Genomic DNA, 26,190 nt, shown 5'->3' with positions numbered 1-26,190 from the left:
CTTTACCCCCAGAATCTCCACCAGGTTTTAATGGTGAAGGGCCCAGAAAGATCCCTTTGTCACTCTGGAAAAAGGAAGAGAAGAGTATCATTGTGAAACATTCAAAGAGTTGTCTCTATAATGAAGTGTTATTCTCCGGGGAAATGACTTCACCAGAACACAACTGTGAAAGAAATATCTTTTGTCTCCAGTTCCTCAGCTTTTCTGTCTCACTTGGAGGAGAAAGGGGGAATATATTCAGTTTGGAACAGGAGTTCAAGAAAATATATTTGGAAACTGAAGTCAAACTAAGAAGCAGTGGGGGAAAAAGAAAAAGAAAGTGCTTTACCACTGAATAAAAGCACTTCCCAAAGCCATAGTCTTAAGATATAGATTGGCCAAAGGATTAAATGTATTCAGAAGATTATGGAATAATCCTCCTTCTGCACATGCTACTGTCGCATCAGTAGGGCTCCATTACAATAAAAGTGAATTAGAGCTGAAAGTCTTGCAAAGTGTGGACTCTCTCTAAGAAGAATTACTCAGGAAAGCCCCCAAACAAGAGGAAAGACAAAAACAAAGGCACTGAAAGAATTGTAGCATCTGATACCTGTAGCAACAACAAACATCAAAAACAGCTCCATTCCTACTTAGATTAACATAAGTCCTCACACTGGAAGTCTCTTTATCTCAGTTTCTATTACCTGATATGACATATCTAGGTTTCAACAAAAAAATTGCAAGGCAGGTCAAAAGGCATAGCTATTAGTCATGTTAGACAAAAAATTTAAAATAAATGTGATGGATGTGAAAAGCAGATATCATGCAAGAAGAGATGGGGAATGTACTCAGAAAGAGGAATAAGGTATGAAAGTACTAAAATGAAACTCTAGAAATAAAAAATCTTACAATGGAAATACAAATTAGCATTCATGGGGTGATCAGTATACTGGACACTACCTAGGAAAGAATCATCGACTCTGAAAATAAGTCAATTGAAATATTATAACTGAAATGCAAAAAGAAAAAAAATATGAAAAAATAGAACAGAATATTCAGAATATAACATAATATCAATAGATATTGTTGAACAATATCTAAATCCATAACACATATGTAATTGGAATACAAGAAGAAAAAGAGAATAGACAAGAAACAAATATTTGAAGTAATAATGACTGAGAACCTTACAATATTAATAATAGTTAACCAAACCAGATATAAGAATCTCAGAGAATACCAAGCAGAATAAACACCTTAACACCCCACATTTGGAAATTGCATGTTTAAACTGCAGAAAATTAAAGATGAAGAGAAAATACTGAAAGAAGCCAGAGGAAAGAAAGAATGTACAAATTTATAAAGAAACAAAAATATGTATTACAGTAGACTTGTGTTCAGATACCATGGAAGCAAGAAGGAAGTAGAACAAAATATTTAATGTTCAAGGAAAACAAAACAAAATGCCATGCTACACTACTATACCTAGTATAATATTCTTTTAAATATAAAGGAGAAATAAATGCTTTCTCATATAAACAAAAACTGGGGTAATTCATCACTAGCAAATTTGCTCTGCAAAAAAGAAAAAAAAAAGTTAAAACAGTTATTCAGGTAGAAGGAAAATGATTCAGCCAGAAAATTTAATTCACATAAATAAAAGAAGAGCGACATGGAACAAATTTAAAAAGTTAATATAATTGAAATCATCTAATGGAATCTCTTTCCATATGCAGGATGTTCATGGTGCTTTAAAAATTAAACTCACTCACGTTTTGTTTTGTTTTATTCAATTTTTTAATTTATTTTCATAGGTTTTTGGGGAACAGTTGGTTTTTGGTTACATGAATAAGTTCTTTAGTGGGGATTTCTGAGGTTTTGGTGCACCCATCACCCGAGCAGTGTACATTGCACTTAGTGTGTAGTGTTTTATCCCATACTACTCCCTACCCTTTCCCTCAAGCCCCCAAATTCCAATGTATCATTCTTATTCTTTTGCATCCTCATAGCCTAGCTCCCACATATGAGTGAGAACATGCAATGTTTGGTTTTCCATTCTTGAGTTACTTCACTTAGAATAATCTCCAATTCCATCCAAGTTGCTAGATAGATAGATTTAGATATAGATAGATATAGATATAAATGCACTACTCAGTGTATATCTATATAATATTTATATATAATATATACAATATATTTATTATATTTTTATATTTATTATATAAATATATATTTATTGTAAAATATATAATTTTATTTTTATTATAAAATATATATTATACATTATATATAAAATATTATATATTTTATATATATGTATATACACACACTCTACTCAGCCATGAAAAGGAACAAAATAATGGCATTCACATTCTATCTATCTATCTATCTATCACATTTTCTTATCTACTTGTTGATTAATGGGCATTTGGGCTGGTTCCATATTTTTGCAATTGCAAATTGTATTGCTATAAATATGTGTGTGGAAGTATCTTTTATGTATAATGACTTCTTTTCCTCTGGGTAGAGACCTAGTAGTGGGATTGCTGGATCAAACTGTAGGTCTACTTTTAGTTCTTTAAGGAGTCTCCAGACTGTTTTCCATAGTGTTTGTCCTAGTTTATATTCCCACCAACAGTATAAAAGTGTTCCCATTTCAATGCATCCACACCAACATCTATTGTTTTTTGATTTTTTGATTATGGCCATTCTTGCAGGAATAAAGTGGTATCACATTGTGGTTTGGGTTTGCATTTCCCTGATAATTAGTGAATTTGAGCATTTTTCCATATGCTTGTTGGCCATTTGTATATCTTCTTTTGAGAATGGTCTATTCATGTCCTTAGCCCACTTTTTGATGGAATTGTTTTTTTTTTTTTTCCTTGCTGATTTGAGTTTTTTATAGATTCTGGATATTGTTTTTTGTCCGATGTATAGATTGTGAAGATTTTCTCTCAGTCTGTGTAAACCCACTCATGTTTTGATTCACAGACTTTTACCTTGTTATATATGGGGAGGGTGTACTTAATACTATTGATTGGGCCTGTTGTTTCAAAAGCTCTCCTTCATTTTTATATTGAATCAAAATTTTCAATTCTTAAACTTTTAGAATACAAATAAACATTAGATACTATCATTTGTTAATATAGTACCAGAGTAAATTAACAGCCACATATAAGAAAAAATGATAAATGAGTCATGAACTTTGTGCCTGGATTCTTACCTAAAGCAAAAAGAGAGAGGAAAACCTTATAATATCATAGATCACCATCTTCATAGTTTTGCTTTCTTCTGCTATCATGAAAAGAATGATCAATTTCTCATTTAATTTGCCTTTTCATTCCAATTGAATAACTCTGAGTTTCTTTTAATTTGCTTGAAATATAAAATTAAAATATTAATCTAATAACAACATAAAATTATTAAAAACAGTCCTACGTGATAAAGGTTGGGAGGTAAAAAGTCAAAAGCAGGAGAAAGTCAAAGCAGCTTGGTTGATGACATTTTCTCTGATTCTCCAAATCTAACCATTCTCTACTTTCTAACCCAAAAGCATAAGAATAAGAAAACACACCAAATCTGTGACAACAATGCTATCTTTTCATATAGTTAGTCCACATTCTTAATCCTTCTATGAAGAGAGCAATGAGTTGACATGAAATTCATTGTGCTTATACACTATAATGTGATGTTTGACAAGCCATGAGATATTAATGAACAAGGTTTAGTTTATCATGGCATCAGATCAGCAATGTTTGCACCATAATTGAGTAGATAATGAAATTTGTTTTTAAGCTTTAAAGCAGAGTCAAGGATCTGAGCAATGCTGAGCAATCAGGCTACATTGCTGCAAGCTAATTTAGTGTTTTGGGGCTATATAGATCATTTAATCTGTCACACATCCTATTGTCCTGAATAAACCAAATGAAGCATATTTTAATTTTCACAAACAAACTTGTTATTCATTCTCCAAGACCTCTTCGTATCATGGGATTAAGGATAGTCTTATAGGTTGGCTACATTACTAAAATTTAGGGATGGTGTAGAACTTGATATCAGTATTACTAAGTATAGAAATAGTCATTTTTAACCATTTACTAGTATAAATAATTGCCCTTTGCCTAGTTTGTAACAAATAGGCTGATTTGAAAAATCTGGCACTGATTACACGGTTGTTTTTAAGGCCATGAACAAAGAAAATCTGAAGTATAATTTTGTGGGAGGAGAGTTCTAGTCTTTTATAATAGTCTAACCAAGTGTATAAGAGTACTGTGATTTTCAGAATTACCTTTCCCAACATTTGCTAACTTAAACGTGGCACTTCTCAAAACATTGAACATGTACTCTTATTCAAATCTGTCTCTATGTAATTTTACTCAAATTTCTTGAAAATGAAAAATGAACATGTTATTTTCTTACTTCAAGAGTGGATGAAATTATACAGAAAAAGAGAAAAGAGTTGAATTTAAAATAGTGTTTAGCCAGCATTGATTTATCCTATCACATATATCTTTTAGAATATTCATAAATAATAAGTTCAAATATGAATTATTATCTGAATCTATTGTTAGAATCTAGATTGATTCCAAAATGTATTATGGCAACAGAGCAAAAGAATTCCATATCATTTAGAATCACCCTGTTAATTTTATCACAAACATCGTCACTAAATATAATTAAAATGTAGTAGGTTGATGACAGATGTAGCGATGAAGACAGGAAAAGAGAAGAAGGGAGGGATGGAAGAAAAGTGAAAGACAGAGAGAGAGAGAAAACACCTGGCAAATAGATACATAAAAATTCTTAGAGCCCAAAAGTAAAGATTCTCAGAAGCCAAAATAAAAATAAAAATGTGATTGTGAATGCTGAGGGGACACGTAGTTCTAACCTTCATTTTACCTTTGAAACATTTGCTTTACACTAAAGAATATGTTTCTCTTTTGAAGACCACTAGAAATTATGGAAGAAAGAGTCAATTCTAGATCTCGCCCAAAGTTCAGTGTCAAATAAAAACTTTCACATGGAAACATGGATCACAAAAGTCTACACAATCATATTAGGATGAATTAGATATGAATTCATCTTGCAATATGGCTTATAAAGAGATTCTGTCTCCTGGAAAACTAGTGCTGAGTGAAGGGAACAAATTCTTGGCTAGGAATATGTTACCATAGACTAGCCTACAAATGCATTTGTGTTTCAAATTCAGACTACCTGCATCATCCAAAAATTCTCAAGTCACAAAAAGTGACCAAAAGCAAAAAGTCAGCAGTTGTCAGTCTACACATCCAAAAAGGTTTCATTGTGGGATTACAAATCTACTCACCAATAAAACTTCCTACTTCCCTGCAACTGTTACCTAGTTGGATGATATTGAACCTAGGCTAGAGAGACAATGGGATTATGTAGTTAAGACAAAGAGAAGCACATAGCCTAGTATATCCTTTCTATTTTTCTCACTATAGGCTTTCAATGGCCTAGACAAAGAGAAGACAAGGAGAAGCACATGGCCTAGTATATCCTTTTATTTTTTTCTCACTATAGGCTTTCAATGTGGAGCAGTGCTGAGTGTGAGGAAGAAGACTTCTGTTAAATTACATGTTGAGTTTACATAATTATGATTTAATTACTGCAATAACACTAGTATTGTGACATAAAATTACTTGGAGCATACCTAAGAATTGATATACCAATTTCCAATTATATATAGATACATTTCTGCATTTCTTCCTGTGCCAATGACACATGGCTTTAATTATTATAGTTTTATAATTAATGTAAATGTCTTACTGTGAAAGCCATAGATTTTAAACAACTCTTTAAATATCTTGGTTCTATTAGGACTTTTTTATTCATATACACTTTTTAGACAGTTTGTTACATACATTGTTTAGATTTTGGTGTCACATTTATTACATAGAACAATTTAGTGAAATGATATTAATAATATCCCTATACATTCATGACTATGGTATAGCCTACTGTATGTTAAGTTTTTATTTTATCTAGTATATCTCAGTGTTTCTGGAGGATGATTTTCCTAGTAACAAATCTGACCAGAATAAGTAATCTCCAATTTTCTCCACTAATAAATTTAAAGCCTTTGGATCTTTTGTTGACAGGATGAAAATGTATCAGTTAAAACTTTTATTTATAAAAATATATAAACTTTATAAGCCACTGCTTGTTATTTCAGATGACAGTACTAAAACATGTCAAAAAGTGTGTGTGTATATATATATACTACTACTTGTTTAAATTTATAATGGGCCTGATATGGTTTTGCTCTGTTATCCCACCCAAATATCATGTCAAGTTTTCATTCTCAGAATTGGAGGAGGGTCTTCGTGGGAGGTAATTGAATCACGGGATTGGATTTCCCCCTTGCTGTTCTCATGATAGAGTTTTTAACAAGATCTGGTTGTTTGAAATTGTGTACCACCTCCTCCTTCTCTCTCTCTGTCTCCCCTTCTCAGGTCATGTGATGATGTACCTTCTTCCTCTTCAACTTTGACCATGATTGTAAGTTTCCTGAGGCCACCCCAAAAGCAGAAGTCTGAACAGCCCACAGAACAGGAGCTGATTCAACCTCTTATCTTTATAAATTACCCAGTCACAGGTATGTCTTTACAGCAGTATAAGAACAGACCAATACAGAAGATTGGTACCAGAGCAGAAGGGTATTGCTGTAAAGATACCTGAAAATGTGGAAGCAGCTTTGGAACTGAATAATGGCCAGAGGTGAAATAGTTTTGAGGGCTCAGAAGAAGACAGGAAGATGAGGGAAAGTCTGGAACTTCCTAGAGACTGGTTGAATGATTGTGACCAAAATGTTGATAGCTATATGGACAGTGAAGTGGAGGCCAAGGATGTCTTAAATGGAAATGAGGAACTTACTGGGGAATGGAGAAGGGGTCACTTTTGCTATGCTCTAGCAACAAGACTTGTGGCAATGTTCCCCTGCTATAGAAACCTGTTGAACTTTGAACTTGAGAGAGATGATTTAAGATACGTGATGGAAGAAATTTCTAAGCAGCAAAACATTCAGGATGTGAGCTGGCTGCTTCTAAAAGCTACACTCATTTGCATAAGCAAATAGTACTTACCTTTAAAAGAGAAACAGAGCATAAAATTTAGAAAATTTGCAGCCTTGCCATGTGGTAGAAAAAAAAATCAGGAGAAATTCAAGCCAACTTCAGAAATTTGCATAAAGAGAAGCCAAATGTTAATATCCAAGACAATGGAGAAAATGCTTCCAAGGCATTTCAGAGACCTTTGCAGCATCCCCTCCCATCACAGTCCTAGAGGCCTAGGAGGGAAAAATGGTTGTGTGGACCAGACCCAGGGCCCTGCTGTTCTTTGCTGCCTTGGGACATGGTGCCCGGCATCTCAGCTGCTTCAGCTCCAGCCATGCCTAAAAGGGGACAAGATACAGCTTGAGCCATTACTTCAGAGGGTGCAAGCCCCAAGCCTTGATGGCTTCCCCATGGTGTTAAGCCTGCAGTTGTGCAGAGGGCAAGAGTTGAGGCTTGGGAGACTTCACCTAGATTTCAGAGGATGTATGGAAATGCAGGGATATCCAGTCAGAAGTCTGCTGCAGGGGCAGAGCCTGCATGGAGAACCTCTGCTAGGGCAGTGTAAAGGGGAAATATGGGGTTGGAGCCCCCACACAGAGTCCCCACTGAGGTATTGTCTAGTGGGCCTTTGAGGAGACAGCCACTGTCCTCAAGACCCCAGAATGGTAGCTCCACTGACAGGCTCCACCATGTACCTGAAAAAACCACAGGTACTCAGTGCCAGTTCTTGTGAGCAGCCATGAGAGATGAGTCCTGAAGAGTAATAGGGGCAAAGCTGCCCAAGGCTGTGAAAGCACACCTCTTGCATCAGTGTGGCCTGAATGTGAGATATCAAGTCAAACGAGATTATGTGTTGGAGCTTCAGAATTTAATGACAGACCTGCTGGATTTCGTACTTGCATGGGGCCTGTAGCCCCTTATTTTGGCCAATGTCTCCCTTTTGGAATACAAGCATATACCAAATGACTATACCCTCATTGTAACTTGAAAGTAACTAACTTTTTTTTTTTTATTTTACAGGCTTTTAGGCAGAAGGGCCTTGTGTTGTTCAAGATGAGACTTTGGATTGTGAACTTTTGAGTTAATGCAGAAATGAGTTAAGACTTTGAGGGACTGTTGGGAAAACATGAGTGTGTTTTGAGATATAAGAAAAACATGCGATCTGGGAGGGGATGGGGCAGAATGATATGGTTTGGCTCTGTGTTCCCACACAAATCTCTTTTTGAATTATAATCTTCAGTGTTGAAAGAGGGGCCAGGTGGGAGGTGACTGAATCATAGGGGAAGACTTCTCCCTTGCTATTCTCATGATAGAGTTCTTATGAGATTGATTGTTTGAAAGTGTGTAGCACCCCTCACCCTTATTTGACCACGGAAAGATGTGCCTGCTTCCCTTTCACCTTCTGCCATGATTGTAAGTTTCCTGAGGTATCCCCAGCTGTGCAGAACTATGAGTCTGCGAGTCAATTAAATCTCTTGTCTTTAAATTAACCAGTCTCAGGTATGTCTTTATAGCAGTGTGAGAACAGACTAATACAGGGCCTGTACAAATTTGTATTGCCAAAAGATTTGTAAATAAAAAAAGTAGCATGCAATTATATAGTGTATTAGTCCGTTTTCTTGCTGCTGATAAAGACATACCCAAGAGTGGGAAGAAAACAAGCTTTAATGGACTCACAGTTCCTTGTGGATGTGGAGGCCTCACAATCATGGCGGAAGGTGAAAGGCACATCTCACACAGTAGCAGAGAAGAGAAGAGAGCTTGTGCAGGGAAACTCTCCCTTTTTAAAACCATCAGATCTGGGCCAGGTGCATTGGCTCACACCTGTAATCCCAGCACTTTGGGAGGCCAAGGTGGGTGGATCATGAGGTCAGGAGATCGAGACCAACCTGACCAACATGGTGAAACCCCATCTCTGCTAAAAATACTAAAATTAGCCAGGTGTGGTGGTGCATGCCTTCAATCCCAGCTACTCAGGAGGCTGAGGCAAGGGAATTACTTGAACCCAGGAGGCAGAGGTTGCAGTGAGCCAAGATCATGCCACTGCATTCCAGCCTGGGTGACAGAGTGAGACTCTGTCTCAGAACAAAACAAAACAAAACAAAACAAAACAAGGCCATCATATCTGGTGAGACTTATTCACTCTCATGAGCACAGCACAGGAAAGACCTGCTCCCATAATTCAAGCACCTCCCACTAGGTTCCTCCCATGACACTTGGGAATTATAGGAGTTACAATCAAAATGACATTTTGGTGGGGACACAGCCAAACAACATCATTCCACCCCTAACTTCTCCCAAATCTCATGTCTTCACATTTCAAAACCAATCATGCTTTTCCAACAGTCCTCTAAAGTCTTAACTTATTTCACCATTAACTAAAAAGTCCAGAGTCCAAAGTCTCATCTGGGACAAGACAAGTCCCTTCCAACTATGAGCCTATAAACTCAAAAGAAAGTTAGTCACTTTCTAGATACAATGGGGGTACAAGTATTGGGTAAATATAGCTGTTCCAAATGGGAGAAATGGGCCAAAACAAAGGGGCTATAGGCCCCATGCAAGTCTGAAATCCAGCATGGCAGTCACATCTTAAAGTTCCAAAATGATCTCCTTTGACCACATGCCTCACATCTGGGCCACAGTGATGCAAGAGGTGAGCTCCCATGGTCTTGGGGAGCTCTGCCCCTGTGGCTCTGCAGAGTACAGCCTCCCTCCTGGCAGCTTTCACAGGCTGGAGTTGAGCATGTGGCTTTTCTAGGCAGATGGTGCAAGCTGTCAATGGATCTACCATTCTGGAGTCTGGAGGGAAGTGACCCTCTTCACACAGCTCCACTAGGCAGTGCCCCAGTAAGGACTCTGTGTGGGGGCTCCCACCCACATCACCCTTCTGCACTGCCCTAGCAGAGGTTCTCCATGAGAGCACCGCCCCTGCAACAATCTTCTGCCTGGACATCCTGGTGTCTCCATACATCCTCTGAAATCTAGGTGAAGGTTCTCAAACCTCAATTCTTGACTTCTGTGCACCACAGGAACACCACCACATGGATGCTGCCATGGCTTGGGGTTTGCACCTTCTGAAGCCATGCCCAAGCTCTACACTGGACCCTTTCATCATGGCTGGAGTAGCTGGGATGCAGGGCACCAAGTCTCTAGGCTGCACATAGCATGGAGACCTGGGGGCTGGCCCATAAAACCACTTTATCCTCCTAGGCCTCCAGGCCTGTGATAAGAGGGGCTGCCATGAAGACCTCTAACGTGCCCTGGAGACATTTTCCCCATTGTCTTGGTGACTAACATATAGCTCCTTGTTACTTATGCAAATTTCTGCAGCTGGCTTGAATTTCTACTCAGAAAATGGGATTTTCTTTTCTATCACATTGTCAGGCTGCATATTTTCCAAGACGTTTTGCTCTGTTTCCCTTTTAAAACTGAATGCTTTTAACAGCACCCAAGTCATTTCTTGAATGCTTTGCTGCTTAGAAATTTCTTCCACCAGATACCCTGAATCTGGTATCCACAAAGCTCTAGGTCAGAGGAAAAATGCCACCAGTCTCTTTGCTAAAAGCTAACAAGAATCACCTTTGCTCCAGTTGCCAACAAGTTCATTTCCTTCAGAGACCACATCAGCCTGGACCTTATTGTTCATATCACTATCAACATTTTTGTCAAAGCCAGTCAACAAGTCTCTAGGAAGTTCCAAACTTTTCCACATTTTCCTGTCTTCTTCTGAGCCCTCCAAACTGTTCCACCCTTTGCCTGTTACTCAGTTCCAAAGTTGCTTCCATATTTTCAGGTACCTTTTCAGCAACACACCACTCCTAGTAACAATTTACTATATTAGTCCATTTTCATGCTGCTGATAAAGCTGTACCCGAGACTGGGAAGAAAACAAATTTTAATGGACTTACAGTTCCTTGTGGCTAGAGAGGCCTCACAATCATGGTGGAAGGTGAAAGGAATGTCTCACATGGTGGCAGACAGAGAAGAGACTTTGTGCAGGGAAACTTTCCTTTTTAAAACCATCAGATCTGGTGAGACTTATTCAATCTCATGAGAACAGCATGGGAAACAACCACCCTCATAATTTAATCACCTCCCACCAAGTTCCTCCCACAACACATGTAAATTGTGGGAGCTACGTTTCAAGATGAGACTTGGGTGGGGACACAGCCAAACCATATCATAGAATGTGCTTTTATTTTTAAAAAATCATTAATTTTTGATGCTAGATTTCTGAGTACCTCATAGGTATTTTTGCTGTTGTTCAAAGTTAAAACTTTTTAAGTCGAATTCTTCAGGATTTTTTAAATCTTCTTTTGTTAAGTTTAAAATGTGTGCATTTTATTAAATGTAAGTTAACTTTTAAAATTTATTGTCATAAAAACACTTAACATGAAATATACCTTCTTAACAAATTTTAAGTGCGTAAAGCATTATTGTTGAATATGGGTACAATATTGTGCAGCAGAACTCCAGATTATATTCATTTTGCTCCTTCATTCATAACTATGCTCCTTGATTAGTAACTACTCATTTCCCCTCTTTCCCATTCCTGGCAACCACCATTCTATTCTGAGTCTACGTAATTAACTATTTTAATATCTAGAAGTTTAGGAAATTGCATTGTTTCATCTAATTCTTACTATAATCCTGTAGGTGAGTCTGTTAATTTTATTTCATACATAAGAAACAATACATTTCAGACCAATTGAAAAGCTTGCCCAACAATGCAAAATGATGCAGCCACTAATAGCAGCATGCACATTCCTCAAAAAGTTAAAAATAGATATACCATATGATCCAGTAATTTCATGTCTGGGTATTTATCCAAAAGAACTGAAGTAAGGATCTTGAAGAGATAGCTACACTCCCATGTCCATTGCAGAGTTATTCACACTAGCCAAGATGTGGAAATAACCTAAACATTCATTCATAAAAGGGGAAAGAAAATGTGGTCTACACATACAATGAAATACTACTCAGCCATAAAACAGAAAGAAATTCTGCAGTATGTGACAACATGAATAGACCTGGAGGACATTATGCTAGGTAAAATAAACCAGTTACAGAACAACAAATATTGCATGAATTTTCTCTGTCTTAATCTGGAAGACAAATGTCCATACAACCTCAAAGGAATTCTAGGTGACTCTAACAATCCACAAAAATGTGAGATATTTGGGCTCAAAAAGACCCTGGAGAAGTATAACTTTTTAATTTCTTTTCCTCAAGTGACATTTTTCAAGCAATATAGGTCAAATATTTTCCTCTGAAAATCCTCTTGAGATAACTGTCAGTTTTTTTTTTTATTCAAAAAGTAGAGTAAAACTTTTTGAAAGAAGAATCTCTACAGGGATTTTTCTCTATGCACACAGCAGGGCTTGACCCTAGGTGAACATACCCCCTGACAGAGTAATTGCTCAGCTGAAAGACAGAATGGTCTCACAGTCTGAAATTCAGAGAGAAACTGGAGACTTGAAAGATAGAGACTGGACGGCATCATTACTTTGATTATTTTTTTTTTCCTGCATGATTGTGATTTTTTTTTGTGGCCCTATGTACTCGAAGTACTGCTTCCTCCTTCTTTCTCTACTGCATTTCAAACTCATATAAACGGGAAAGAAGATTGCTCTGTACATAAACGCTGATAACATTTAGCTTAGGCTATCTAAAATCATTTTTGGCATTAAAAACAAATTAGGGAAGAGTGGAAGTATAAAAAATAGCTTTTAGGTTTTTTTTAAAAGCTTTTCACTCTTTTGAAATTCCATATTAGCACAAATACATGACTACTATATTGAAATATATTTTATAAGAAATAATTTACTAAAGTCCGATTTTACCTACATTATTATTTGGCAAAATTCAAGAACGAGCCATTATGAGATCTATGCACATTTTTAAGAGTAGTATAAGATTTTTAAATGTTAGTCAATATTCTGTCTAAATTATTTTTCTGTGGTATAGGTTTGTGAGTATATTTTATATTTTCTTGCAAAATGTAATTCAGTCTAAATTTTTTTTCTCAAGATTACAACACTAAAAGCCATAGTAGATATAAAATACAATAATTCTCATCAAAAATAATTATGAATTGTAACAATCATAATCTTTTCATAATTATGTGTTAATACGTCAAATATTATAACCATTCTTTGCAATGCTTCAAGTTGCCGAGATATCATTTAATTCAACTTAATTTTTAAATTGTACTACATACTTGTAAAATCTTTTTGACTAACTTCGAGGCTGTATTTTTTACTCTATCGTCACTAAGCACTTTTTTTTTTAGAATTGCATTTAATACATTTAAATTAAAATGACATTTCTTTATATACGAAATAAAAAGGGCTAGTTATAATTAATGAGAATTTATCTCCTATATTCTGCATACTGTGTTTATACCTCTAATGAAACATCTGGAGGTATTTGAAGCATTGCAGAAGGGATAGAAATGAATGGAGAAACCAGACGCTAGAAGTAAAGGAAGTATGCTTGCGAAAAAGACCAAGATAAATACATGAAGGAAAAACTCACTTTCACTATGATATGGATTCTCTACTAATTTTTTAAATACAGCACAACAATGACCATTCAACATGACTGTTTATTTGTAAGCCATGCCCACAATCTCCACCTCCATTCGACCAAAAGATTCATAAACATGTGCACGTGCACACATTAAAAAAATAGAGAAATTAAACATATTGTATGGGGGGAAATATATAAAAAAGTATATGCACAGATTCACATAATCTTTATCAGAAATAAGTAAATATGAAGGGAGATCAGGAGATCATCTGTGAAGTCAGGAAAAACAGAGTAGGGTAGATTCTAAGGGTCAAGGAAGGGAGTGGTCCTAGGTGATAAATTGTACCCCTTTCTGGAAAATCATCTATTTTGTAATATGAGCCAAGACCTCTTGCACTCTCCTACTTTATGCAAATAAGACAAAGATGTGATTGAAGTGATAATATATTTAATTTCAAAACCAGAAATTGTTTTAGATTGAAAAGGTGTAATAAAATGAACACATTTGATAAGTTTTATTGACTGACTAAAGTATGTTGTCCATCTGAATATTAAAAGATAACCTAAAAAGTAATTTATTACTATATATTTCCATTCTCTAATGAGTTAATGAGCCTAGCTGTTTCTAATATTCAGAGCATTTTCTTTAAAAGCAAATTACATTTCAAACTGATCTAATTCTGATTAATTTTTAAATAATTGCCAAAAGGTTTCTATATCATTTATTTTTATGGTTAAAATTTTTGAAAGAGTTAAAAGTTTAATTAACCTTTTTTGTAGAAAATAATATTTTTTTGAAAAAAATATTTTTCTAAATAAAGAGTGGTACTTTATATGCTCAGAATAAATTCGATTAAAAACAAGAATTACTCAATTCCATTTTTAATTGAGATCTATAAATACTGCAGTGCAAATACTTTCACAAATACAAGTTTTTTGGGGGGTTTTCCCTCCCTGATTCCGAGAATCTTTATTTGGCAAATAGTTTTTATATGACAAAATTTATCAAGTAAATTATCATTATTTATAAATTTTAGAGTATATTGCAAAATGTAGATGATTCAAAATTGCTGACTTTATCATTTTCAATTTATTCAGTAAAGGATTATCAATTTATCCACTTAAAGACCTAAGGAAATAAATGGATTTTCCCCACATGTCCATATATTCTAAAGTTCAATTAGATAATTTTCAAATTAAATAATTTCCCATCACTAAATTTGTTTAGATTTGTCTTGCTTTTGTGGGATAAACTACAATCGCTTCTTGTTTGCATGTTTGTTTTGAATAACTGCAATTCACTAGAAAGCTTCCAAGAGTTGAATATTCTGGAGATTTATTTGTCAATTTGGGACAAAATGCAAGTAAATAAAAACAATTTTATCAGCTCTATTAATAAAAGTGTTGAATAGCATTATAGATAATCATTTCTTCAAAAGTTTATACATTCAAATTTACAATGGGCAGCAGAAATAGAAAGTAAATATTGTCATACTGGAGTAATTTTGTATATTTAGCATTGGCATCAGTCTCATATTTTTAAAAAGTTGTGATGTGACATGTATGTGTGTGTAAATTTAATAACTTCAGCTTCTTCTTAACTGGTAGTCTATTAAAGTTTGTTTGGATTAAATTATTACAACTTATTGCACGGTAATTCTGGCCTTATGAAAATGTTGTTTCCACAATGACATTTGCTTTACCAAATTCACAATGCATTTTATCAAGAAAAAATATAATATTACTGATGTAATTTTCACTGGATTTATCATAACATACTTTAAAATGTCATGTAATCTACCTTATTGAAATGTACTTTCAAAACATTACTTTGAGTTCCTAAATTGAATGAAAACACTTGAATCATTTTTTGCAGTTAGCTGATTTTCTACTTAATGCATTAGATGATATTGGTATAAAATTTTCAGCTTTTAACTGTTTGCAAATATTTTCTTCTGCCAGTTCAACTCATGCATTCACAAATATCAATTCACTCTTCTATGTGCACATGAAAACTTTGATAAAAATTATTATAATTAATTTAGATGAAAAGTCATTTGATCAAAATAATCATCAAGATAATATATGAATGGTTTTCTGCAGCTGCACATGTAATATCACTGTGTTTTTAGAATATATACTCACTGTGGAAGTTGATAATGGTGCTACTTCAGAAGACTTGATTCCTATGGTTTCATGAGTTCAGTGATATCTTCACCACCTCCATCTGCCATGGTAGACAGCTGTTGTCAAAAAATATTTTATGGAGTGACATGCTCATCATGAACATTCTTATTAAAATAGTGCACACATTTCATTTAAAAGCACTATCTTTTGTTAGCTCTTCGTCTAGCAACGGGATTTACTACAGAATTTTAAAAAATGCATCAACTAAGAAAATACACTAGAAACTTCAGATTTGATTTACTGAAGAAGTGATGAATCACCCTCACAGGAGCTTTCAGTCTATTTCTCTGTTTTTCCCTGAGACAGGGTCTTACTCTATTGCCAAGGCTGGTGTGCAATGGTGTGATCTCAGTTCACAGAAACCTCTGTCTCCTGGGCTCAGGTGAGCCTCCCACCTCAGCCTCCTGAGTAGCTAGAAATACAGGCGTGTGCCACCATGCCCAGCTAAGTTTTTTGTAGAGACGGGGTTTCGCCATGTTGCCCAGGCTGGTGTCAAACTCCTTAGCTCAAGAGATCTGCCCGCCTCATCCTCCCAAAGTGCTGGGAATTACAGATGTGAGCCCTGGCTATTCTTTATATTCATCATATAATTATCCAGCTTCTATTTTCTGTACTGTTATAAAAATAAAATAGTGCTACCAATAGAAAGAATCCTTTGTATCAATACAGAAGAGAAAAAGAACACAATTTATTATTGGATAATTATGTTAGTTTCCTATTCCTGTAAGAAATTACTCCAAACTGTGGTTTTTTTTGTTTGTTTGTTTTTTTTTTTTTTTTTTTTTTGAGACGAAGTTTCACTCTGTCACCCACGCTGGAGTGCCATGGCGCGATCTTGGTTCACTGCAAGCTCCGCCTGCCGGGTTCACGCCATTCTCCTGCCTCAGCCTCCTGAGTAGCTCGGACTACAGGCGCCCACCACCACGCCTGGCTAATTTTTTGTGTTTTTAGTAGAGACGGGGTTTCACCGTGTTAGCCAGGATGGTCTCTATCTCCTGACCTCGTGATCCGCCCGCCTCGACCTCCCAAAGTGCTGGGATTACAGGCGTGAGCCACCGCGCCCGGCCCAAACTGAGGTTTAAACTGTATAAATTTACTTACTTAATGATTTGGATATTGGAAGTCCTAAAACCAAGATGTTGGCAGGGCTGTGTACCTTCTGTACAGTTTTTGGAAATATCTGCTTTATTGTTTTTCTTCCATTTCCAAAAGGAGTTCGCATTCCTGAACTGACAGACCTAGACCTCAGCTTTTGTCACTAATTCCTTCAACTCTAAATATCTTGCCTCTCTTCTCCTTAGAAGGATGTTTGTGATTACATTAGGCTCACCTGGATGATTCAGCATACTCTCCCTCATACAGTTTAAATGTTTGTCCTCTTCAAATCTCATGTTGACATATGATCTCCACTGTTGGAGGTGAGGCCTAGTGGAAAGTGTTTGGGTATGGGGTCAGGTCCCTCATGAATGGCTTCCTACCATCCTCGCAGTAACAAATGAGCCTCACTCCATGGGTTCACATGAGATCTGCTTGTTTACAAGCGCCTAGAACTTCCTCACCTCTTTCTCTCCTGCTTCCTGTCTTACTGTGTCTGAAATTAGTGGGTTCTTTGTCTCACTGACTTCAAGAATGAAGCCGCAGACGCTCGTGGTGAGTGTTATAGCTCTTAAAGCAGCGTTTCTGGAGTCGTTCATTCTTCCCGTTGGGAGTTGTTCATTCCTCCCAGTGGGTTCGTGATCTCGCTGGCCTCGGGAGTGAAGCTGCAGACTTTCGCTGTGAGTGCTACAGCTCATAAAGGCAATGGGGACCCAAAAAGTCAGCAGCAGCAAGATTTATCGCAAAGAGTGAAAGAACAAAACTTCCATACTGTGGAAGTGGACCCTAGCAGGTTGCCAATGCTAGCTTGGGCACCTTTTATTCCCTTATCTGGCCGCACCCACATCCTGCTGATTGGTCCATTTTACAGAGAACTGATTGGTCTGTTTTACAGAGAGCTGATTGGCCCATTTTGGCAGGGTGCTGATTGGTGCATTTGCAATCCCCAAGCTAGACACAAAAGGTCCCCAAGTCCCCACTAGATTAACTAGACACAAAGCAGTGATTGGTGCATTTACAAACCTTGAGCTAGACACAGGGTGATGATGGGTGTGTTTACAAACCTTGAGCTAGACACATGGAGTGCTGATTGGTGTGTTTACAAACCTTAAGCTAGACATAAAAGTTCTCCAAGTCCCCACCGGACTCAGGAGCCCAGCTGGCTTCGCATAGCGGGTCCCTGCCAGGGCCATGGGTGGAGCTGCCCGCCAGTCCCGCCCCCACCGCCCCACCCTTCCCCGCGTGCACTCCTCACCCTTGGGCGGTAGATGGGACCGGGCGCCGCGTGGAGGAGGCCACCTCAGCGGGGCTCGGGCTTGGCGGGCTGCAGGTCCTGAGACCTGCCCCGCGAGAAGGCGGCTGAGGCTGGCAAGAATTCGAGCGTGGCTACGGCGGGCCGGCAGTGCTGGGGGACCTGGCGCCCCCTCTGCAGCTGCTCGCCCAGGTGCTAAGCCCCTCACTGCGCGGGCACCGGCCGGCCGCTCGGAGTGTGGGGCCCGACGAGCCCACCCCCAACCGGAACTCGCGCTGGACCGCGAGCGCCGCACGCAGCCCTGGTTACCGCCGGCGCCTCTCCCTCCACACCTCCCGCCAGCAGAGGGAGCCAGCTCTGGCCTCAGCCAGCCCCCAGAGAGGGGCCCCACAGCGCAGCGGCGGGCTGAAGGGCGCCGCAAGCGCTGCCAGAGTGGGCGCAGAGGCGAAGGAAGCGCTGAGAGTGAGCGAGGGCTGTGAGGGCTGCCGGCAGGCTGTCACCTCTCATTACCATGTCATACACCTGGTCCTCCTTCATCTTCCGCCATGATTGTAGGATTCCTGAGGACCCTAACGAGGAATAGATGCCAGCACCACACCTCCTGTAGAGCCTGCAGAACCGTAAGCCAAAATAAGCCTCTTTTTTTATAAATTACCTATTCTCAGGTATTCCTTAATAGCAATGCAGAGGGACTAAAACACTCCCCATCCTAAAATTCTTGACTTAAATGCATCTGCAAATTCCTTTTTACTACGCACATATTTACAGGTTCAGGGTATTAGGGCTTGGACTTTAAGGAAATTCCATTATCCTTTGACCACAGTAAACTTTAATAGATTTATATGAATGTAATTGATCACAAAAGGTAACACTAAGGATAAAATCTTACACATTTTATACAGCAAACAGAAGAAAGAATAACTTAAAGAATTAGACCTCCTAACAATTTCCTTTACATGTTGTGAGATATCACTGGGCCACTTTTAGTGATACATTTTCACATAGCTGGAGGTTTTGAGTCTGCCGACTTGGAGCTATTGCTTCATTGTAAAACCTGGAATATCTAGCTTAATCCTTGGCGAGATTTATCTCTATTTCACAGGTTATAGTAAGGACTCTAACTCAGTATGTCTTCAAGGAAACAATTTTTTTAAAGAGGGAAGTGGATTAAAAAAATGTACCTGATTGTATTAAACAGGCAAGAAAAACTTTATGTAGGACTATTGCAATAGAGATCAAGACTATTGCAATAAGGTTTGGGGGAAGAGATTGAATTCAATGCCACAAAACAAAAGGTGGAAGAGTTATTGAGTGCTGAGGTGAGGTAGTGGAAAATTACTGGAGGATATTAGAGGAGAGATTGGTCAATGTAATTAGGCCAAGTGTGTTTGCTTATTGGTACTTATAGAAGTTAGACTTATACTGTCTCACAGAGACTAAGAAGATGGGGTACTAATTTCTTGATAATTGCATTGCAAAGAAATTTTTCCCAGGTCCTTGAGAAACACATTCCTGAGTTACATAACTGGCAAAAGGCTGGAAAAAGATTATATCTCAAAAGGAAGAGAAATAATTTACCATTGAGAATTTTCTAAATTAAATGCTGTAAGAAAAAGTGGTCAGGGGCCTAGAGTCAGGAACAAACCTGCTTAATGTTTAGTCACACTTAGGTGGGTATTAAGTAGGGACATGTTATCTTTTTCCTTTACAAATGGTGAAAGACATTTTTATTGATCATTATATTTACTTACATTTAAAGTTTAAGTTTCTACATTTTTTACTGGTTTCACGGATTTTAAGCCTGACTTCTGGTTAGTTTAACAAGGGACCTTTAATGACCACAATATTTTAATACGTCTCCCATTATGCTGGATGGTGTTACTGAATTTCACTATTTTTACAAAAGAATGCTTCATCTTATCAGTGAACAAGTACCCTTGAAATGTAATTTTTAATTACTCTTATGGACTGAGTGCTTGTGTCCTACCGAAATTCTTATGTTGAAACGTTATTGCTCAATGTGATGATATTAAGAAGTGGGATTTTGAAGGTAATCAAGTTTAGATAAAGTCATGGGGGTTGAGACTTAATGAATAGAATTAGTGCCCTTAGAAAAGAGACTCCAAACAGCTCCCTTGCACCTTCCAACATGTGAAGATACAGAGAAGAGATGGCCATCTAGGGAGTTGGTCCTCATCAGACATTTAATCTACCAGTTACTTAGTCTTGGACTTCCCGGCCACCAGAAGTATGATAGATAAATTTCTGATTTTCTAAGCTTCCAATCTATGGCATTTTTTGTTGCACACCGAGCTGACCAAAAGAGTTACCTTGAGCCAGAATCTATCCAAGAAAAGAGGGAAGAATTACTGATGGTTTTAAAATTTAGCCATGTGTTCACTGAACATGCATCTTACACCTTACTAGACAAGGGCATAGGAAAAATTGGAAATACAATGCAAAACCACCATGGCTTACATTACTGTAACTTTGAATAACATTTCACAATTAGACAGCTAACATTTTGATATAAATTCTGAACCAGGAAAAACCTAGGAATAACACAAGTAAACTAAAGACATTATAGGCAAGCCATGACTTATGTTCATTATTGGAATCCAGAAATAACACATTGTAAAGCACCTGAATTGTGACAATTAGAAATGCCTCTATAACCCTGAGACAATCAGAAACAAGGTATCTATTTGTTCTATGGATGATATTCACCCAGATACATTGATGTGTATGGGATGCAACAGAAAGCGAAAATTAGCTCCAGGAAAGTTTCTTTGGAAAGAACTGTAGCCAGAGATAAAAAATAGATAGAAACTAAATTTCAGCCAGGAAAGTGACAGACATATCCAGGAGCAATCCTAGAATGGATCAGGCTCTGCTTTTGAAAGTGGACAACGAAAAGTGCAGAGATTGCTCAGGAATGAAAATATTAGTCTGTAGAGTTAACTAACGATTGAAAACTCAGAATATTCAGAGTTTTGAAGCATGACAGACAATGGGTCCCTAATTTGTTTTCTCTCCGTAAGTAATAAGACAATAAAAAGGCTGCTGAATAATGGCATTTCAATGTAAGCAGGAAAATGAATGCACAGTCAAATCTTTCTGTAAAAAGTGTTAAAATTTTTCAGCTGGATAATCTGTTTATGCAGGTATATTTGGGTGTCTATGTGCATATTAATATGAATGGAAATACTGAATACTGTAAATGTTTGAAATTTATAATACATAATCAATGTTCTTTTCAGTGTTACCTAGTTAAGTAAATTGCTGTCCTTCAAAATTCTTAATTTTGCTATATATATATTGTGTATATATGTATATATATGTTATTATATATATGTAAAACTTGATACATAGAAAAAAGTTCAGTACTTCATTATTGTAGCATTTAGGTAAGAACTGTGATAAAAATAGATCACTGACATTTGTGTTTTAGTATTTATATCTATTTATTTAAATAGTAATTTGAAGGAAAATGAACCATTCAAACATGCAAGATGATTTTAGATGGGAAAGAATAGACATGAACTATGAAGTGTCAGAAGACAAAATTTTATGCTGGGCTTTTCTTTGTCTTCTGTGTCTAGAAACAGAAAGTCACCTTGGAGCACATCATCTTTGTTCTGCTAAGAAGTCATATGATTATTCCCTTTTATTCATGCAAATATTATGCCAGGAAGCACATTTATACACGGTCAGGGTAAAAAAAGGACCTATTGTGTCTTGACAAAGGCAGCTTCTTACAAAACCTTCTTGCTGCAGAGCTGTCACAAAGAAAAGAGAGGGAAAGTCTGCATGCTGACCAAGTAGCCTCCTGGGAGGAAAGGGCGTGATACTTTCACTCCTTCCACTCTATTGTTCACATTTTCAAGACTCCTCCAAAGGAATAAGGTGGTGGAGGAAAGTACACACATAACAAGAACACATCATGAAAACATCAAGCACTATGAAAGCTTCTGGACTCTCATTCATGATCAATACAATAAACTAAATTTAATGGAGGAAGGCTGGCTTCAGCAAATCATATGGCTAAGGGTGATCGTAGAGTTTTGGAGAAATGTAAGAATAATTGTTGAATGTGTATGAGCTGCTGTGCTTATACAAGCCAATGTACTCAGAAGTGATTTGGACCAAGCAGAAGTCACTCATCAGTAGGGGATGAATAGTCATCACAAAAGTCAGGGGCAGCCGGCAAACTTGCTAACTCAAGTCCCTGGGAAGTAGCAGCGGTACCAAATTGATTAGATCCCAAGTTTTCTCTCTTCTGAGTATTGGAAGCAGGATGAAATTTAATTGGATATCAAAAAAGTCCTGGATGTTGGTCAATTAGGCGAGATCTTTAAAATGAAAGAAATTCCTGGTAAAAGGAGTAAATCAAGGCAGGATGGGAGAGGAGGCGTAGAAATATGCAATATTAAAGAAAATAAAGATTTGCCTTATAGGCTGCTATGAAATGACCTAGGACAGTTGAGTTACTCACGTGTAATGTATATTTTAAATTCATAATCTCAGCTTCATTCCCATAAGCATGCTATAACACAATATGATACAATGAAAATGAATTTCAGGCTGAATTCTGCCACACATAGGAATATTAATTAGTGAACAATTAAGGAAATAACTACAGAACTTGATTTATAAGCTTGATGAAAACTAGGTCTCTGACCTTTTGGCAGATCTAACAGGACTTGTGCAATAAAACTAGTTGCGTTCAGTTTACCTCCTAGTTCAGTCACACACCAAAATATATAGCTAGGATGTGGTATGCCAACATCTTTGTTGCCATTGACAGGGGAAAAAATTCCTGATTTTTTCAAAAGCCAACTAAGCACTCTTGATTGTCTGTGCTAAAGGGATTTAAAACTAATCACAAAGATGCAAATCAAGGTGACTGAGCAAATATAACAACATGGTTTTTTTTGTTTGCTTTTAATTTTTATCTATATTATGTGATAATACTTCCCTCCAAAGCATGAAAAAGCATTTGGGAAAATATCTGGGAAAGTTATTTGTAAGTATAATAGGAATTTTAAAAATGAATGGGGATCATAACTGAACTGCAAATTTTAGAGGTGGAAAAAAACTATATATAAATATATCAGCTATTTCAAAAGCTAATTAACTTGGGTTAGTATAATAGACTTGAGGTAAGAGCAGAAAAATGGGTATTTAATATGTCCAAGTATGGATGAGTCCACATTTTGGCTGGATTTGTGGTTACACAGATGTTTGTGATAATTCAGCAAGCCGGGCATTTGTAATTTGTCTAGTTTTCTGTAAGAATAAATGTTTCAAAATAATAAAAAAAAAACTAAATGTATGGTAGATCTTTAGTGTGGAAGTTCTCACATTTACTAACATTTTGCCTAAATTACACTTTAGCTTGTATGTAAAAAATGAGTTTCTTAGGATAAATGAACATTTTAGTTGTATATTGAATAGAGATGTAGAAGAACTTCGTAAAGTTTTTTAGTGTAGCCACTGTATACGATAAATGAAAAAGTGTGACATAGTAAGAGTTAAGAAAGGTAAGCAAGGACAAAGTAAGAATTATTTCACATACCCAAATCAACAAGTTCCTATGTTATTCTTTGGGCAATGTGAAGTCATTTAAATTGTGTAGAACCAGTGGATGAAATAAGAATAAAATTCTAGGGATCATTTATATGAAATGGTTGAATAGAAGTTCATTATATGAACATAAACTTAATGCTATTATTTTATCATCCTCAGCATTATAGCTAAGGAAACTGATTTACAGTGTACTTTAGAAATTTGCACATTTGGCAAGTAGTGGAGGCAAGGTTGACACACAGCCCAATCCGAATGGGTCTACCACAGAATTACTGAAATAAAGGAGTGTAAATGTAAGTCATTACAGATAAGGAAGTTGAGGGACAAATTCTGGAGAATTGGATAGATGATAAATACTATTGTTTCTTTCTGAATTTATTATAGGTTTGGAATAAAGGAAATGCTATATTTTGTATGTGTCCTCCAAAAAGCAGGCGGTAGAAACTTAATCATAATTGTAATAGTATAAAGAGGTAAGATCTTTAAGAGGTGATTAAGCCATAAGGGCTCTTCTCTCACGAGTGAATTAATGCTTTTTTCTCTGAAGTGGGTTTCTTTTAAAATGATGAGGTTCAGACCCCTTTTGCTCTCTCACACACTCTTGCCCTTCCACCTTCCGCCATGAGATGTTACAGCAAAAAGGCCAGCACCTTAATTTTGAGCTTCCCAGCCTCTAGAACTGCAAGTAAATACATGTCTGTTCTTTATAAGTTACCCAGTCTGTGGTATTCTGTTAGTTATAGCAGCACAAAATGGTCAAAGACAAATATCAACTGGGATTCAGGTATTAAATGTCTACAGAGATATAGTAATAACAGAGAGACCTTCCAGAAAAAGGATTGCAGCAGATTGCATGCTGATTACTCGGGCTTTAAAGCAGAATGGTGCTTTACATGAGGCCCACAGAGATTTCTGAAAGTGTTCCTGCAGGTTTACAACAGAATTTGCAAATTATGCAGGGATGGGTGAGAAAATTTCACTTATGATGCTACAAAGGGATTTTTGTTTGCTTGATGACAAGATTTCAGCTAAAGAAAGAAATTAGATGCAGCATTTTATGAAGAAAAAACTACAAAGTGTTACGTAATTTAGGTTTTTATGTTAAATGTACCCAATAAATTCTTTGTGTTTATTCAGGGCTTGAGTAGAATCTGTCAAATACAACTCAACTCACTTTATCTATTTATAAAACAATGGTAATCTTAAGTGTTATGGCTTAAATATGGTTTGTCCCCACCAAAACATATGTTGAGTCTTGATCCCCAGTGTGGCAGTGTTGGAAGGTGGTGTTTTTAAGAAGTGATTAGTCCATTAGGAGGCATTAATGCCATTCTCCAGAGAGCGAGATCTGCTTTCCTAGGACTGGATTAGTTACTACCACAAGAACGAATTGCGATGAGCAAGACCGCCTCTTGTGTTTGGTCACTTTTTGCATACACTTGCTTCTCCTTCTTCTTCTCTTCTGTATTATGATGCAGCATGAGAGCCTCATCAAAAGCTGACCAGATGCTGTGGCCTGATCTTGGACTTCCTAGCCTCCAGAATAATGAACTTAAACCACCCTCCTTTATAAATTATCCAGTCTCGTTATTCTGTTATAGCTTCAGAAAATGGGCTGACATGAAGGAAAATGGTAGATGTCTTAAGAACTAATATTTGCATAGGAAGAAAGAAAGATATGTAGGTTATAAATATTTGATTATTCTTTTGAATATAATACAAAGAAAAATATAGAATTATGAGTATTTAGTTGGGTGAGGTATTCAAATTATCTGTCAATACCCGACAACCTTTATGTGTTGCAACAATGTACTAAATGAAAGGTGCAACAACAATCAGGATTTGGTTGTATGGGTCATGGTTATATTACTAGGAAAATAAATATGCATCATGTGATACCAGTTTCTGATAGGATGAGAGACAGTGTTTTAATAATTTAAAATGGTGTTTTAGATTGCTGTTGCACACATAGTGGTGGGACCATTTCTGGAAATTTCCATTGTCACTATTTGGGTTAGCCTTCTGAAAAGCTACCAGAGACAAGAAATAAGTTATTTATAATAAATTCATTTGTAGGTGTTGTATCTTAGATGACTCATTGCAAACTGACTTCATCAAAGAGCATGTTTAAGGTAAATAAATTACATAGGTAAAGAACTACTTATTCTGCTATTAAATATTTATCTATCCACTCTCTAGCTTTAGTGTATTTAATCTGCCTAACTCTAAATGACCAAAGTATATAATTACTTTGAACCAATTTTAATGAAGAGCCAAATGTGCATAAAAATTAGATCAAATACTTATAGAAAATTAAATATTTTATATTTTATATTACTTTCCAAATATTAAATTATTTATACCTAGATAAGTAGATAGGTAGACACTTAGAGATAATCAGTGGAAACATTTACAATAAATTTTAATTTTAATGTATATATTCTATTGTGATAGCATACATTCTTAAACCAAGAAGCATAA

General features: G+C 36.6%; 1 long non-coding RNA gene across 1 annotated transcript in view; it reads right to left on the bottom strand.

Moving 5' to 3' along the window:
* The window catches only part of LOC105370300 (uncharacterized), a 90,882-nt gene extending 72,496 nt beyond the window's left edge, over window positions 1-18,386 (bottom strand). Inside the window, exons 1-2 of the long non-coding RNA XR_931621.3 lie at window positions 18,124-18,386; window positions 15,732-15,829 (exon numbers count right to left, since the gene is read on the bottom strand). This is a non-coding gene — a long non-coding RNA (uncharacterized LOC105370300). The remainder of the gene's footprint in view (window positions 1-15,731; window positions 15,830-18,123) is intronic.
* Window positions 18,387-26,190: the final 7,804 nt, after the last annotated feature.

Source organism: Homo sapiens, chromosome 13 (assembly GCF_000001405.40).
Source record: "Homo sapiens chromosome 13, GRCh38.p14 Primary Assembly".
NCBI lineage: Eukaryota > Metazoa > Chordata > Mammalia > Primates > Hominidae > Homo > Homo sapiens.
Note: the sequence above shows the minus strand (reverse complement) of the source record. Positions and strands in the feature narration are given on the sequence as shown.